Raw genomic sequence first — 16267 nt, 5'->3', positions numbered from 1 at the left:
TCAGTCTCATATGAATGTAATATGTGTCTATTAATGCATATATATGTTTATATATTTGCAACATTTTAAAGTAGGTTTCTAAATCAAATAATAATTTGAATACAGTAGTGTATTAAAAGATTAATTTTTCATGACCAAACAAGGTTTACTCTAGCAATGCAAGGATAGCATAACATGAGGTATTGTGTCGGCTGGAGAAACTTCTAGCTCAGGGATTAGAGCATGGTTTGCCCCAGTCCTGCCATTTACTAATTCTCTGACGTTAGCCAAATTAGTTAATCTCCCTGAGCTTCAGTCTCCTCATCTATAAAATTGGCAGGACAATTACAATACTGCTGTATAGGGTTGATGGAAGGACGAAATGGGGTATCTGTGAAATGATTAGACCTGGGTTTGGTGCATAATAAGTGCTCAGTTAATGTTATACATCACAATTCACTGTATCACATTAAAAAGAAAACCCATGTGGTTATGTTAGCATATTTAAAAGGCATGTAATACAATTCTGCCGCTAATCTTAATGAAAATCTAAAACAGTCATAGAATCTACATAAATACAGAAATAGGTGCCAACACCCAGCAGCAAGCCTGTTAAGTGGCCATTCTGTGACACTCCAGGCATGACAGGGAGGCCTGCATTTAGCACTGTTGCCTCAAATCGATGATCCTGTGGACTTGTCAGGCTTTTGGGGAGAGGAGCCAGTCTGTCGCCTGGGCTGGCCAGTGTTGCCTCTGCTCTGTCTGGAGCAAGTGTGCATTAAGGCCTGCGCTTGCCAGTGGCCTTTCACCAGGGTGTAGCTTCTGGCCTTGCTCTATAGGAACCAGGAATTCCTGGGGTTGGGCTGGGAAGAGGATCGTTAAAGTGATAAGCCTGGAGGCATTTTGAGAACTACCTGTGACATTTAGAGTGAGGAGGGTCAGCAGTGGGTGGGTTAGCCTGGCAGGTGCCAAGGTTCTGTACTCCCTCTAGGTGAAGAATTAGCACAGGCATAGTTTCTAGCCCCCTTTTCCTCTCCTACATGCAAAATAAGATGATGAATGTTCTCCAAATGACAGAGGAGGGGAAGGCCTCAATGCTGTGAACTCTGTAGGGTTTCAGCTCAGATTGGACCTTCCAGACTGGCCTGGAAAGCCATGGGGGCCAGGGTGTCTCAGCATTGGCCCGCTTTTGGCCTGGTATTTGTTGAACATCTATCAGTGGGTCTTTTTCTTGTGTCTGTCTTACAGCATTTCTCTCATCTACCCCTAGTTTAGAAATGTTTTCTTAGATAACTTAAAATTCATGTAAAATAAGAGGTGATGGATATATAAGTTTTGGAACATACTAATAAATGCCTGGGAGCCAACCTCCTAGCTGGAGAACTAAACCACTGTGCACCACAGGGAAACTCCTAGTGGGTGCTCCCTGCCAGGGGGTAAAGGCATTCTAGAATAGTTCATCATTCCTGCACCTTTTTTTTTTTTTTAAAGAATATTGACAAGGCTCTGGTTAGAAAAAGGGAAAAAAAAAAGAATACTTATACACATGTATCTGTAAATAATATATTCTATTTTTGTTTATGAATTTTATAAAAAGAGACTCATAAGTAATCTGCAAATTTCATTTTTCATTCATTTTTACAGCTGGATAATTTTTCATTGTGTGCATGCTATATATATATATATTTGTATATATTTTTTATTTTTGTAGAGACAGGGTCTTGCCCGAACTCCTGAGCTCGAGCAATTCTCCTGCCTCAGCCTCCCAAAGTGCTGGGATTATAGGCATGAGCCACCATGCCCAGCCCCCTTTCTACCTTTTAATAGATATATTTTAGTTTTATTTGTCTTATGAGTAAACCACAAGAATGGGGACTTTCTCTAATGGATTTCTGTATCCTGTGAAAGTACTAAAACTTGTGGTGAATATGGTGGGAGCGTCCTCCATGCTAATAACTGAGTATTGGCATTGGATTTAAGGGAGTCAGTAGGTTAAACTGATACAGATTGGACCTTAGAGAGGGTGATGTGAGTGTCAGAACAAGACCAAAATGCCACCCTTGTTACAATGTAGTAGAAGTGGTGGACTAGAGCTCATCTGCAGTGCAGGCAGGTGGGCTTGCTGACTCTCCCTGACCCACATTCTAGGCCCTGGCACAGTCTACTCAAAGGTCAGCTGGGTCTGCAGAGGAGATATCCTTGCTCCAGCTGGCTGCCTTGCATCAATCTGGGGTGGAGAGGAAAGGAAAAGAGGACTAATTCCCAAAGCTTATGTTGTTGTTGTTGTTCCTTCTCCTCGTCCTCCTCCTCCTCTTCTTCTTCTTCTTTCTCTTTTCTTCCTCTCCTCCTCCTCCTCCTCCTTCTTCTCTTTTCTTTTCTTTTTTTTTTTTTTTTTGAGACAAGATCTCACTGTGTTGCCCAGGCTGGAGTGCAGTGGCACAATCTCAACTCACTGCAACCTCCACCTCCCAGGTTTAAGCAGTTACGGTGCCTCAGCCACCCGAGTAGCTGGGATTACAGGCACACACCACCATGCCCAGCTAATTTTTGTATTTTTAATAGAGGCAGGGTTTCACCATGTTGGCCATGGCTGGTGCTTATGATCTTTTAATGGATGGCCTCTACCCAGACAAGAAGCCTGTATGTGGTACTTCTGCCCCTACTCACCAGGAAGAGCACTCTCCTCTACTGTTCTCCAGTGGGGAGGAGTTAGGCGTGGCTTAGACCAGGAGCATTGAGGGAATGGAAATCATTGGCAAAGGGGAGCTGGCATCCTTCCCTACTGTTTAGAAGTAGATCATATCTAATTAACAGGTGAATGCTCTGGGTATGGCACCTGCTATTTGGTGCTCATGGGAAAGGGCCTTGGGTAGACGGTTCAGGCGCCAGGCCCTTGGTGGAACTGGCTTTTGTTTTTCATTGTACCTAGTCATGGTACACTGGATGGCGGATAACCGGAAGCAGAGTCGACATAGGGATACGGAGGGAAGGAGACTTACATAGATTTCAGGACAACAGTGAGCTGCCAGGCACCAGGCCAGGTGCTTTATCTCATGTAATCCACTTGGTAACATGTGAGGTGGGAGATGCTGGTCCTTTTTATACAGGTGAGGAAACAGAGGCTCTGAGGTAAATTGAATTGCGATTCCACAGCTCGTGGGCTGTGAGCTGGCATTTGTATCAGGCTACAAGTTAAGGCTACGCTTCTGTTCTTGGTACTTGGCATCCACACCTGAGCTATGTGTCCCCAAGGATGAGGCTGCCATTTCTCTCGTGGGCTTTTCTCTTTTCCTCTTTTAGCATATGCTGTGCCCCTAGACCCTAAGCCCTGTGCTAGGTGCCAAGGAAACAAGGGCAATGAGGGATGATGGAGACGGGAGTGGAGGATGGGCCCAGGCCTAAGACTGGAGTGTAGCAGGCCTGTTTCTGTGTCAGTTACAGGGGAGAGCAGCCAACCCAGTCTGGGTTTATGGGGCAGGGGGCCATGCGTGGCACAAGTGTGGGGCTTGCCACACCTGGGCGGAGACAGGCAGGCATGTTGGCTGGAGAGCTTGCTTGCGAGCTTTGCAGCTATCAAATGTGTAAATTCCAAAGTGTATATGTAGAGTTTCTGATTGAATGAAACATTTGAAAAATGAATGGGGAAAGCATCTGGAGTCTTTTTCTCAATGAGAAGTTAAAGGAGGAAGCTTCAGTGGAGCCTTGTTGACAAAAAACAGTGTGGTACAGATTCCCAGTTGCATAATTCAGAGCACTGGGGAAGTTTTGACCTGTGTTTTGCTCGTCAATTCCTGAGCAAGTGGAAATAATGAAGTTGCTCAGGAGGGATTGCCTTGTGGGCGAGACCTGTGACAGAGTCTGTCATTTTGAACCTTCTGTTCTGGAAATACTTTTTACAGTGTCTTCTGCCTTTTTTCTTTTTAAAGATTGTTTTAAAAACACCACTTCTCGCTTTCTCTCCTTATCTTTCAGTAATTTGTTGCAGGGCATTTTGGATAGGAATATTTCACTGATATTCTTGTTTGAGCTGACGGTCATGTCCCAGATGTGTTTGCTGCAGTATGTGGGCAGATATATGACTGCCCTGTCAAAGTTCTTACTTCCGTATTGACCCCAGCCATAAAAGTCATGATAAATCTGGTTCACAATGAACAATCCTCACATGCTGTTCGTAATTAGAAAATCCAGGTGTGTGCTTTTATTTCTAGAATTTTGTCCTGTCTGAAATGTAGGAAGATGCTGTTATAAAGAAGCACATTCAAAGCCATTTAAAAGCACGGTTGAGCTGGGTGCAGTGGCATGCATCTGTAATCCAGGTACACAGGAGGCTGAGGCGGGAACATGGCTTCAGCCCAGGAGTTGAAGTCCAGCCTGGGCAACATAAGAAAAAAAAAAGTAAAAGCATGGCTGACTTTTCTTAGAGTGAGGCAGTAGACTGTGTGCTTCCTGGCGTGGTGTCCAGGTCGGAAAGCCCAGAGGTGGAATTCTCCTTTGGCCACTTTGGGCCCATCCTGGTGCAGAGCTACAACTTCAGGTTTCCTAGTGCACAGTTCTGATCATATCTTTTTTTCCTAGATGTATAAGGAACTATTTTTCTAAAATGGTGGTGGTTTAAAATATATATATATATATTTAGTATTTATTGATGATTCTTGGGTGTTTCTCGGAGAGGGGGATTTGGCAGGGTCATAGGACAATAGTGGAGGGAAGGTCAGCAGATAAACATGTGAACAAGGGTCTCTGGTTTTCCTAGGCAGAGGACCCTGCGGCCTTCCGCAATGTTTATGTCCCTGGGTACTGGAGCTTAGGGAGTGGTGATGACTCTTAAAGAGCATGCTGCCTTCAAGCATCTGTTTAACAAAGCACATCGTGCACCGCCCTTAATCCATTTAACCCTGAGTGGACACAGCACATGTTTCAGAGAGCACGGGATTGGGGGCAAGGCCATAGATCAACAGCGTCCCAAGGCAGAAGAATCTTTCCTAGCACAGAACAAAATGGAGTCTCCTATGTCTACTTCTTTCCACACAGACACAGTAACAATCCGACTTCTCTTTCTTTTCCCCACATTTCCCCCCCCCATTGGACAAAACCGCCATTGTCATCATGGCCCGTTCTCAATGAGCTGCTGGGTACACCTCCCAGACGGGGTGGCGGCCGGGCAGAGGGGCTCCTCACCTCCCAGACGGGGCGGCCGGGCAGAGGCACCCCCCACCTTCCAGACGGGGCGGCGGCCGGGTGGAGGCTGCCCCCCACCTCCCGAACGGGGCTGCTGGCTGGGCGGGGGCTGCCCCCCACCTCCCTCCCGGACGGGGCTGCTGGCCGGGCGGGGGCTGCCCCCCACCTCCCTCCCGGATGGGGCGGCTGGCCGGGCGGGGGCTACCCCCCACCTCCCGGACGGGGCGGCTGCCGGACAGAGATGCTCCTCACTTCCCAGACAGGGCGGCTGCCCGGCGGAGGGGCTCCTCACTTCTCAGACGATGGGCGGCCGGGCAGAGACGCTCCTCACTTCCCAGACATGGTGGCGGTTGGGCAGAGACACTCCTCACTTCCCAGACTGGGTGGCCGGGCAGAGGGGCTCCTCACATCCCAGACGATGGGCTGCCAGGCAGAGACGCTCCTCACTTCCCAGATGGGGTGGCGGCCGGGCAGAGGCTGCACTCTTGGCACTTTGGGAGGCCAAGGCAGGCGGCTGGGAGGTGGGGGTTGTAGCGAGCCGAGATCACGCCACTGCACTCCAGCCTGGGCAACATAGAGCACTGAGTGAGCGAGACTCCGTCTGCAGTCCTGGCACCTCGGGAGGCTGAGGCGGGCAGATCACTTGCGGTCGGGAGCTGGAGACCAGCCCGGCCAACACGGCGAAACCCCGTCTCCACCAAAAAATACAAAAACCAGTCAGGCGTGGCGGCGCGCGCCTGCAATCCCAGGCGCTTGGCAGGCTGAGGCAGGAGAATCAGGCAGGGAGGCTGCAGTGAGCCGAGATGGCGGCAGTACAGTCCAGCTTTGGCTCGGCATCAGAGGGAGACCGTGGAGGGAGAGGGAGAGGGAGAATATTTTTATCATGGTGGTTTGTAATGCCACCTCCTTTCATTGTTTTTAGCTTAGCGTTAGCCTGCAGACCCTCAGAAACTGCTGAGTGGTGAGAGGTGGTGCAGGGGTAGGCTGTAGCAGAGAGGGCTGTGGAGAGGCTGGGGGCAGGGCAGGGTGGTGCAGGGAGCCTGGGTCGCTGTCTGACCGCACAGCTGTGGGTGGCGTGGGGAGGCGCTGCAGGCCAGCCTCCCATCTCATGGTCAGCACTGCTTGTTACCACAAGCACTCCATATCTGGTGGTGCACTGCCATGGAGCACCTCGGGTGACATCAGCTTACACGGGGCCCTGCCTTCCTTTCCAGGTGCTTGCTTACTTAAAGATTTTAACAAATCATTTGATTTCTTTAGGCTTCATCTTCCTTGGCTAAATTTTAAAAAGAAGACCACATTGTCCCTGACTCCTTTTTGCAAAGGACGTAATGAATGTTCGTTAAACTTTTGTATTATTATTTCTATAATAAACTTTTTATTTTACAAGAATTCTATATGTGCAGAAAAGTTGCAAAACTAATAGAGTTCCTGTCTACCTTTTGCCTGACTTTCTCTAATGTTAACATTTTATGTAACCATAGCTTATTTTTTGAAATTAAGAAATTAACATTGATGCAGTATTACTGAATAAACTATGGACTTTCTTTGGATTTCACCAGTTTTCCCACTGATGTTTTCTTGCAGTTCTAGGATCCCATCCAGGTCCTTGATGATTTTTCCTAGTATTAGATTGGTGGATGAATTTGGGGAGAGTCCCACAGAGGTGAAGTGCCCTTTTCATTACATCATCTCAGGAGGCACCTGATACTGCCATGACTCACCACCGTGATGTTAACCTTGCGGGTTTACTTTAGTCGTTCTCCTTTTTAAATGTGATTCAGGTGGCACTGGTTCCCCAAAAGATTGCTGATCCCTTCAGGCCAGGACCCTGCTCTGCTTGCTTTGTGCCTCTTCCCAGCGTGAGGACTTGGGCTGTGGTGCCAGTGTCGAAGGGGGCATGCCAGGTCAGGTGGAGATGCATTTGGGTTCTGTGATTTTGTGAGCATTCTACAGTTTTCACATCACAGGTGAAACAGGATTGGCCATGTGTTGATACTTGTTGAAACGGGGGGTCATTCTAGTTTCTTTTCTTTTTTTTTTCTTTTTCTTTTTTTTTTTAAGGGCCAGCATCTCACCCTGTCACTCAGGCTAGAGTGCAGTGGTGGGATCATGATTCATTGCAGCCTCACCCTCCTGAGTAGCTGGGACCACAGCTGTGCACTATCAAGCCCAGCTTAAAAATTTTTCGTAGAGATGGGTTCTTTCCATGTTGCCCAGGCTGGTCTCGAACACGTGGACTCGAGCGATCATCATGCCTCGGCCTCTCAGAGTGCTGGAATTACAGGCATGAACCACTGTGCCTGACCTAGTTTCTACTTTCTACGTAGAAACTACGTAGGAGAAGGGAAAACTATTTCCAATCTACAGCGATAATCAATCCCATATTGCTTGGATAATGCCGGTGTTACAATGGTCATCGTTGCCAGAGTTATTGAGGTGGGAGGATTACTCATCTTAAATGTATTTGGTTCTTCCCCAAGGCCTCCATAAGAAGAAAAACTTGCATCTAAACCAGTGTTAAGTGGTACTGCTAATAACAGGGTAATAATAATATTCCTTAACATCTTTCAGGGAGAAAAATCACTGGTGTGCCATCAGAAAAGAATTCCAATTGAAATGAGGTTACAGATTAGTTGGAATACATTTATAGAATACAAAGAAAGTTTACCATGTAATGTCATGATCATTTGTTGAAAAGAAATTTGTAAAATGAGATACACTTTTAAGTTTATAGTTGGTATTCTATTTATAATTATCTCCATATTTCAAACTGAGAATGGAAGCTTTTAGAAGTTAGTGACCATGTCTTTTAAGTTGTATTTATGTAACACTTGCCTAGAGGCTTTAGATGTATACTTACTACGTGGCTGTATTAGTCAGAGCCAATAGGGTGGATGGATGGATGGATGGATGGATGGAGATAGATAGATAAGAAGCAGTTTATTAGGGGAATTGGCTCACATGGTTGTAGAGTCTGAGAAATTCTATGACAGGCTGCCTGCAAGCTGGAGACTCTGGGATGCCGGTAGTGGGGCTCAGTCCACATTTGAGGGCCCCAGAACTAGAGAAGCCAGTCATGTAGCTCTCAGTCCAGTGCTGAAGGCCTAAGAACCCAGGGGCCGCTGGTATAAGTCCAGGAGTCCAAAGGCTGGCAAGCTTGGGGTTCCGTGGCCCAAGGCAGGAGGTGAGTGCATCCCAGCTCCAGGACATTGATAGACACATTTGCCCTTTTCCTGTTTTTGTTCTTTTTAGGCCCCCGGCAGATTGGATGGTGCCTGCCCTTATTGATGGTGGCTCTTCCCCACCTCATCCACTCACACTAATGTGCTAGTCTCTTCTGGAAACAGCCCCATGGACACACCCCAAAATCAGGCTTTACTAGGTTTCTAGGTTTTCCTAGGTGTTCCAGTCAAGTTGACACCTAAAACTCTAAAACTAACCATGACACATGCCAAGTATTGAAAATCTCGAATAAGGGTTCAAATGCTACCTATTTCTTTTCCCATCTTGCCCATTTTCTTTTTCCCCAGCACTGATCCAAAATATAGAAGGAGAAGGGAGAAGATAATGGTAGCGTCCTGGAATGCTTGGCACCACGATTTCATTTTCTTACATATTTATACCCTTCCTGGTTTCACTAAGGGTTTGAGTTGGTTATTAGGGACTATGAAAAAAAAGGTGGCAGACTTGAACTCTTCCTTTGCCTTCCCCAAAACAACAACAGTGAAACAGATGTTTAGTTCTGGGAGGAGCCGTTGCAATCACCCACAGCTGTCTTGCAGTGTCACGCTGTTTGTGGAGGTCCAGGACACACTCGGCCGTCAGAGGGAGCCAGGGTTGCAGCTTCCCGCGCTACCATTGCTGTGCAACTGTGGGCAAGCCACTTCCCCAAACCTGTAGTTTTCTCATCTGAAAACTGGCGCAGTACTCCCACCTTGCAAGGTTATCATGAGTGTATATCCTGAGTATATCATTGTATATAAAGATCTGAGGAGCGTGTATAAAATGTCATAAAATATGCACTCAGTAAAGTACCTAATTTGATCATCCATTTGCAGGATTTCTTTTTATTTTTGAGATGGAGTCTCGCTCTGCGGCCCAGGCTGGAGTGCAGTGGCGTGATCTCGGCTCACTGCAAACTCTGCCTCCCGGGTTCATGCCATTCTCCTGCCTCAGCCTCCCAAGTAGCTGGGACTACAGGCGCCCACCCCCACGCCCGGCTAATTTTTTGTATTTTTAGTAGAGATGGGGTTTCACCATGTTAGCCAGGATGGTCTTGATCTCCTGACCTCGTGATCCGCCCGCCTCGGCCTCCCAAAGTGCTGGGATTACAGGCGTGAGCCACCGCGCCCGGCCCATTTGCAGGGTTTCTAAACACCAACTCACAATGCCAGTTTCACTATCATGCTAGACGATGAAACACCAACAGTATAATTATTCTGTTACAAAGTTAAAGATCTTTAGTTTAAGGCTTTTCATTGATTCTGGGGTTGTATTACCTGTCTTTTGGTGTTAAAATGTCTGAAATGAAATAATGGGAGTGATAGGTCTTTTTCTTTTTTAAATGTCCTTAGGGGGCAAAATAAAGTTGGCGGCCTTGTGTTGGCTGCCTTTCCTGCCCTCAGGAAAAAGCCCTGATCAGTAACATTGGGATCTTCTATCTGGTCCCTGCTCTCCTTTGAGGGAGGAGGAAGCCCCAGCCAAAGAGGGGAGGCCACAGCCAGAGGTGCAGCAGGACACGGCCCTTGTTTACGTGATTCAGCTCAGAGTCCAGCCTTCCTGGGCATCTTCTCACATCTCTTCCTGGCCCCCTGTCCCAGCCCCACCTTCCACATTCCCTGCCTAGTTTCTGTTACGGAGCACCTGTCACCCTGCATGGTCCTCTGGGTACTCGTCCGTCTACCCTACCAGACTTGAAGCTGCTTACGGACAAGTTCGTTTAAGTTAATTATTTAGTTTGTAACTTCCAGAGCCTGGACAGTGCTGAAAAATATTTGTCAGATGGCTGAATTAAACTATAAATAAATGAGGGGAAAAAAATCACACCGATAAAACATTAACATAACATGCCCCTGACTTTATTCCTGAAAATACCCACAGACTCACCAGGAACCTTGCTCACATTCCTTTTGAATTTCAGATCTTTCTTGGATCATCTTCCATTTTTAATGTGTTGCCCAGAGAAGGCTCAAGCTGTTGCCAGGACCATGAGGCTGCGTGACATCTTAACTGAGATGTGCTAGAAATCTAGATGTTGCTTCTTCTGTGGCATTTGGGGATTCTATAAAATGCATAAGAAAAAAATTAACATGTTCCCTCTATCACATTGGTGCTTTCAAGTTTTTCCTCAATTGGGCTGTCTCCATTAATTAGTCTCACTTCACTGTTAAAAAAATCTTTGGACAAGTGCCAGAGAAGCAAAGAAGCTTATGTAAAGGGTTTTAACATTTTCTCCTTTGCCAAAGATAGAACTGATACTTAGCTTTGCTTTGTCCTGGGACCTTCTTCTTTGATAGAGAATGTTAGACATTTGGCTTGGTTTATTCCTTTTTATGTACACGTGTTGGATGAGTAAAGACAAGTGGCTTTTTTTTTTTTTTAGATGCAGTCTCACTCTGTCGCCAGGCCGGAGTGCAGGGGCACGATCTCATTGCAACCTCCGCCTCCCAGGTTCAAGCAATTCTCCTGCCTCAGCCTCCCAAGTAGCTGGGACTACAGGTGCACACCACCACACCCTGCTAATTTTTGTATTTTTCAAAGAGACGGGGTTTCACCATTTTGGCCAAGATGGTCTCGATCTCTTGACCTCGTGATCCGCCTGCCTCAGCCTCCCAAAGTGCTGGGATTACAGGCGTGAGCCACCGCGCCCAGCCCAAGATGGCTCTATTTACATCTTGGTTCATGAAACATATGAAAGGCTAACAAGTAGGATTTGCAAATAGCCACTACCCTGTTCTCAGCCAAAAGAAAAATATGAAAAAGATTGACCTATCACATTTTCACATAATTTATTTATGATTATTTATTTATTTATGATTATTTATTTATTTATGATTATAGTAGGTTTCTAGAATTTAAGATTTACTTATTTGAAGAGAGAAACTAATGCCTTAAATTATCATATTAAATTTTACTGGTTTACTGTCTAGCAGCCATTGAAACCTATTGCTGACACCTGCCACTTCCAGGTCACTGAACTGTCATTGTCATGCCTTTCATCGCGGTGCTAGTGGGAAGAACCCAAGCTAGCCTGGTTAGAAAGTGGACCATTTGGATCCTCTACCAAAGTCATTGGTAGAGGATCAGTTATTCCAAGAATTGAGGCCCAAGAAATACACTTGGGCTAAAATGACACAGAACTTACTTTAATCTTTTGAATCTGAGGCACTTTGTGGTTCTTGGTTAATGTCAGTCACCACTGTATTGCAGATGCAGACGCTGGGTAGGAAGGAAGCTCTGTTACTAGACTTCTGCTGGGGGCTTTTCTTCCTTTTCTCCTGTTTTCTCACCTTCTTTTCCCCTCCTTCTCCCGCCTTCTTCCTCTTTATTGAGGTATTAGTTTACATACAATTGAATGCATCCTTTTAGGAGCTTTGACAAGTGGAAACACCTGTATGACTCAGTCAAGACAGAATATTTCCATTGCTCCAAAATTTCCTTGTGTCCCTTTGAAGTCAGTCCCCCACCCTGCCCCCTGGCCCTGGCAAACATTAATCTGTCACTGTAGATTGGTTTTGCTTGGTTTCGAATTTCATCCACATAGACACACACAGTGGGTGCTATTTTGCATCTGGCTGCTTTGCTCAGCATGATGTTTTTGTGATTGATCCATGTCACATCTGTCAGTAGCTCATTCCTTTTTATTGCCGAGTGGTTTTCAGCTGTGCGCCGATGCCACACACAGTTGGGTTTTGATGTCCTCTATAGAGATGTGTGACAAACCTAGGTGCTACAGGAGTGTGTGCATGCCCTCCCCATCTTTCAGCAGCATATGAGGAAGGCAGAGGGAACTAGCAAATAAATGAACCAGATTTGGGGGAATCTTCTTTTTATCCAAGCCATGGGTCTTGCTAGTCCTTGACTAGTTTGGCTTCTCAGAACAACACTATTCTAGTTACCCCTGGCTTGGGCCAGCCTGTAGGATCTCGGTGTTTGCCTTTCTGGAGATGGGGAGTTACAAATTCCTAATGGAAAAGGCTTGTGGTCAGAGCAGCTCCTTTTGGTCTTTTGTCTAACTTTGTCGTCCCTGCTGCCGATGGATCACCTGGCTCTGTGTTTGGGGCATGCAAAGTTCAGGGACCCAGGTACATAGGAACTGTAGAGCCTGCCCTGTGCCAGGCTGCCAGGTACCCCACCTCCTATGCCAGCCACCTGCCACTCAGGTCTCCTGCCTTGCCCTTGCCCTGTCCTGGCTCAGCTGTTAGTTTTAGCCTGCTAGGGAAAGACTGAGGCGAGCGCAGAACTGCAATCTGTGGTATTCTATTAACAACCCAATTATTGTGTGCCCATGATCACTTTAAGAATCACCTTTTTTTTTTTTTTTTCCAGACGGAGTCTCGCTCTGTCGCCCAGGCTGGAGTGTAATGGCACGATCTTGGCTCACTGCAACCTCCACCTCCTGGGTTCAAGCAATTCTCCTGCCTCAGCCTCTCGAGTAGCTGAGATTACAGGCATGTGCCACCATGCCCAGCTAATTTTTGTACTTTTAGTGGAGACAGGGTTTCACTATGTTGGCCAGGCTGGTCTCCAACTCCTGACCTCAAGTGATCTGCGCACCTTGGCCCCACAAAGTACTGGGATTACAGGCATGGGCCACCGTGCCCAGCCAAGAATCACCTTGTAAAACACAATGACTGCCGCGGGCTGGGGAAAGGGTTGGGAATAGAGGGATGATAGCTAAAGGGTACAGGGTTTCTCTTTGAGGTAATGAAAATGTCCTACCCTTGACGGTGGTGATGGTTGCACACACCTGTGAATATACTAAATAACATTGAATTGTGCCCTTTAAATGGGTGAACTGTGTGACGTGAATTATATCTCAATAAAGCTGTTTTTTTTTTAAGGCAGTATAGTATTAGAGCGATGACAGACCAGTAGAGAAGTGGTGAAAAAAAAATTGTAGAAATTTTATTGTTTCCAAATGACACGACCTTTTGCCAAATATCTTGATTTTCATAGCAGGTCCCGTTCCATGGGAGGCACGGGTGTGGTAGAGAGAGGAGGGACTTTGTATCAAGTGGACCTGACTGAATCCCATTCTGCCCTTATTAGCTGGGTGACCTTGGGCAGATTGCTTATGTTCTGTGGTGGTTTCCTTCCCTGTAAAACAGGGCTAGGAGTACCTATCTTATAGTGTTTCAAATGAGCGTGGTAAACGTGGTACAAGCAGTCATTTTTACCATGCGACAATCATATAACAAAAGGCCTCAGATAGAAGCAGCAGCCTTGCTGGATCCTGTCCTGTCTTTGAGTCCTGCTAGGCTGATGAACTGGCCTGCTGGAGCTGCACTGACCGCTGGGCGAAAGAATCCCCCTGGGAAGTGCTGCCCTGCGTGTTGTTTGCCGCCTCTGCAGGGGGCCTGAGCTGATGGGTGGCGCTGCTGGTCTTTAGTTAACTTGGTGGACTCTCTGTTTCTGAATTTTCTTCCGCCTTAATCCACATGGTTTGAGTAGGCTGGTTGCACACTCTTGGAGAACCAGCACGAGATGTCCCTCATTTTATTTATTTGCACTTCTGCTCAGCCTGTACATTGTGGGCCGGGGCAGGGACCTTGGCTGCTTTGACTGTGGGACCCTAAGCACTGTGCCTGGCATTAATGTTTGTTGAATGAATGTCCAATGGTTTCCAGTCTTTGATGACAGAAGCCAGATCAGAACTGGAATTCCAGCTTAGGCTCTGCATGCCAGAGGCCAGCAGGTGAGCTTCCCTGAGCGGTTTCTGTCCCAGCATCACCTAAAGAGTGGTCGGGCAGCTGTATCACTGCCAGGGACAGGAGAGCTGCCTGAGTCAGTCTTGTCTTCTGCCATAGTCCACGTTTCCTGCCTGGAATCCACTAGTGAGATGTGGCTGACATGGGCAGGGAGAGGGTGTCTTTAGCCACACTGGAGATCTGGTCTGATGACTTCCTAGTCCCACTACTATTCAGTTCAAAGTCAGTTTTCTTTTTCTGCGCCGCCCCCCCCCCCCGCCCACACCTTGCTCTTGTGACTGGGTACTTGGGGCAGGACTCACAATGCCTCCACCCACCCCAGGCATCCAGGCTGCACTTTGCCTGAGGGCATGTGAGGGTGGCCCTGTGACTTGGACTGTGAATGGCTGCTGGGCTGGCCTTCCCTTGCCCTGTGCTGGATGTGGCCCTCACCCCCTACCCCAGACCTCACCCTCCACCCCCCACCCCCAGTTCTGCCTTGGGCCTCTTCTCCTTTTCCAAGTTCAGCTTTTTATTAAGCAGAAACTATCCAAGACCCAGTTCTGACCGTTGAGGGAAGTCAAGTTGGAGGGGCAGTGTTGTGTAGCCTGGCTTACAGGCTGGCTCTCCTTGCGCCAGCTGTGGGACACTTAGCAAGTTGCATAACCTCTCATCTGGGAAATGAAGATAACAATGCTTACCCCCAAAGAGCTATTTTCATGATTAGCCAGAAATAAAGTAAGTGCTGTGTAAATGTTTATTGAGCAGCCTGTGTTTGTTGGATTTAAAAGAAGAGAGTGAGTCTTTTAAACAAAAAGCCCTCCCATAACCAGCAGCCCTAAGTGGGGCTCTGGGACAAAAAAAAAAAAAGTTTTCTGGTATCCTGGCTTGGGGGAGGGAACAGGTAGACAATTTTTGTATTTTTTAGTACAGACGGGGTTTCACCATGTTGGCCAGGCTGGTCTCAAACTTGCTTCCCCAGAACTCAGGCGCTGCTTCTGTCTTAGTGGAGTGAGTGCTTGCCAGCTGTGGCGGGCGTGGCACTCTGGTGTTCATCTTCTGTGATGGTGCCGTGGATTTAACTAAGCCAACCACAGGATATAGTGAAATATGTGTTGACTTCTCTGCTTTTTTGGTGACGGGCTGTGTGGGGAGGGGTGGTAAATAATTTCTCAAGTAGTGTAAATTATTATCATATGTCAAGTAATAGAGTCTCATGTTATGTGGTCTTTGCTTTTATTGGTATTTTTCCATTAAGGAATTTCTTTTTCTCTTTTTTTTGAGACAGGATCTCGCTCTGTCACCCAGGCTAGAGTGCAGTGACGTGATCTCAGCTCACTGCAACCTCTGCTCCCTGGGGTCAAGCGATTCTCGTGCCTCAGCCTCCTGAGTAGCTGGGATTACAGGCATGTGCCACTACACCTGGCCAATTTTTGTATTTTTTAGTAGAGATGAGGTTTCACCATATTGGCTAGGCTGGTCTCAAACTCCTGGCTTCAAGCAATCCATTTGCCTCAGCCTACCAAAGTGCTGGGACTACAAGTGTGAGCCACCGGCCCAGCCTAAGGAATTTCTAAACACAAGATTTTTTTTTTTTTTTTTTTTTAATTGATCATTCTTGGGTGTTTCTCACAGAGGGGGATTTGGCAGGGTCATAGGACAATAGTGGAGGGAAGGTCAACAGATAAACAAGTGAACAAAGGTCTCTGGTTTTCCTAGGCAGAGGACCCTGCGGCCTTCCGCAGTGTTTGTCTAAACACAAGATTTTCAAAAGAGATTTTTAACCTACTTCGTTTTGTGTTATAAGGTAAGACTAGATGGCTGTTTTTAACTGAACATTTTTGAATGAATATGAGTAGCAAGAACACTGGTAAATAGTGTATATCCACTTAGCACAGTTTCCCCTTGCAGTATGTTCTTTTGCCAATTACGTATTTTCCCATCCCTACATACACCCGCTTGGGCCATGTTGAAAGGAGGAACCGCCCTGAACTGGCCCTGCCCTGGCCATTACCACTTAGATCCTGGCTTGCCAAGGGGAATGGGGGAGTGTGCATGTGTATCTTCTAGGAGGGCACCTAGCAGAAATTGATCCCTTGAAATATTTGTTTCCTGTCTGTTTTTGCAGGTTGGTTTCCATATCTACTCTTTCCTGTAGTGTCTGTATTTTTTGTTACTGTATGAGATTTTAAAAAGTG

The 16267-nt window shown here is 46.8% G+C and overlaps 1 protein-coding gene across 4 annotated transcripts in view, besides 3 other annotated features; it reads left to right on the top strand.

The window, feature by feature from the left end:
* The window catches only part of PACSIN2 (protein kinase C and casein kinase substrate in neurons 2), a 145384-nt gene that overhangs the window by 38027 nt on the left and 91090 nt on the right, over positions 1 to 16267 (top strand). The window lies entirely within an intron of this gene.
* Positions 5763 to 6750: an enhancer, noted in NCBI's record as "H3K27ac-H3K4me1 hESC enhancer chr22:43366379-43367366 (GRCh37/hg19 assembly coordinates)". NCBI's record gives its function as "activates a minimal SCP1, AML or CMV promoter by ChIP-STARR-seq in naive H9 embryonic stem cells {active_cell/tissue: H9 hESC(naive)}" and the evidence as "EXISTENCE:reporter gene assay evidence [ECO:0000049][PMID:30033119]".
* Positions 11623 to 12402: an enhancer, noted in NCBI's record as "OCT4-NANOG-H3K27ac-H3K4me1 hESC enhancer chr22:43360727-43361506 (GRCh37/hg19 assembly coordinates)". NCBI's record gives its function as "activates a minimal SCP1, AML or CMV promoter by ChIP-STARR-seq in naive and primed H9 embryonic stem cells {active_cell/tissue: H9 hESC(naive and primed)}" and the evidence as "EXISTENCE:reporter gene assay evidence [ECO:0000049][PMID:30033119]".
* Positions 12403 to 13184: an enhancer, noted in NCBI's record as "H3K27ac-H3K4me1 hESC enhancer chr22:43359945-43360726 (GRCh37/hg19 assembly coordinates)". NCBI's record gives its function as "activates a minimal SCP1, AML or CMV promoter by ChIP-STARR-seq in primed H9 embryonic stem cells {active_cell/tissue: H9 hESC(primed)}" and the evidence as "EXISTENCE:reporter gene assay evidence [ECO:0000049][PMID:30033119]".

The sequence above is a fragment of the Homo sapiens genome, chromosome 22 (assembly GCF_000001405.40).
Source record: "Homo sapiens chromosome 22, GRCh38.p14 Primary Assembly".
Lineage (NCBI taxonomy): Eukaryota > Metazoa > Chordata > Mammalia > Primates > Hominidae > Homo > Homo sapiens.
The sequence above is the reverse complement of the archived record's forward strand: the minus strand, read 5'-3'. Positions and strand labels throughout refer to the sequence as shown.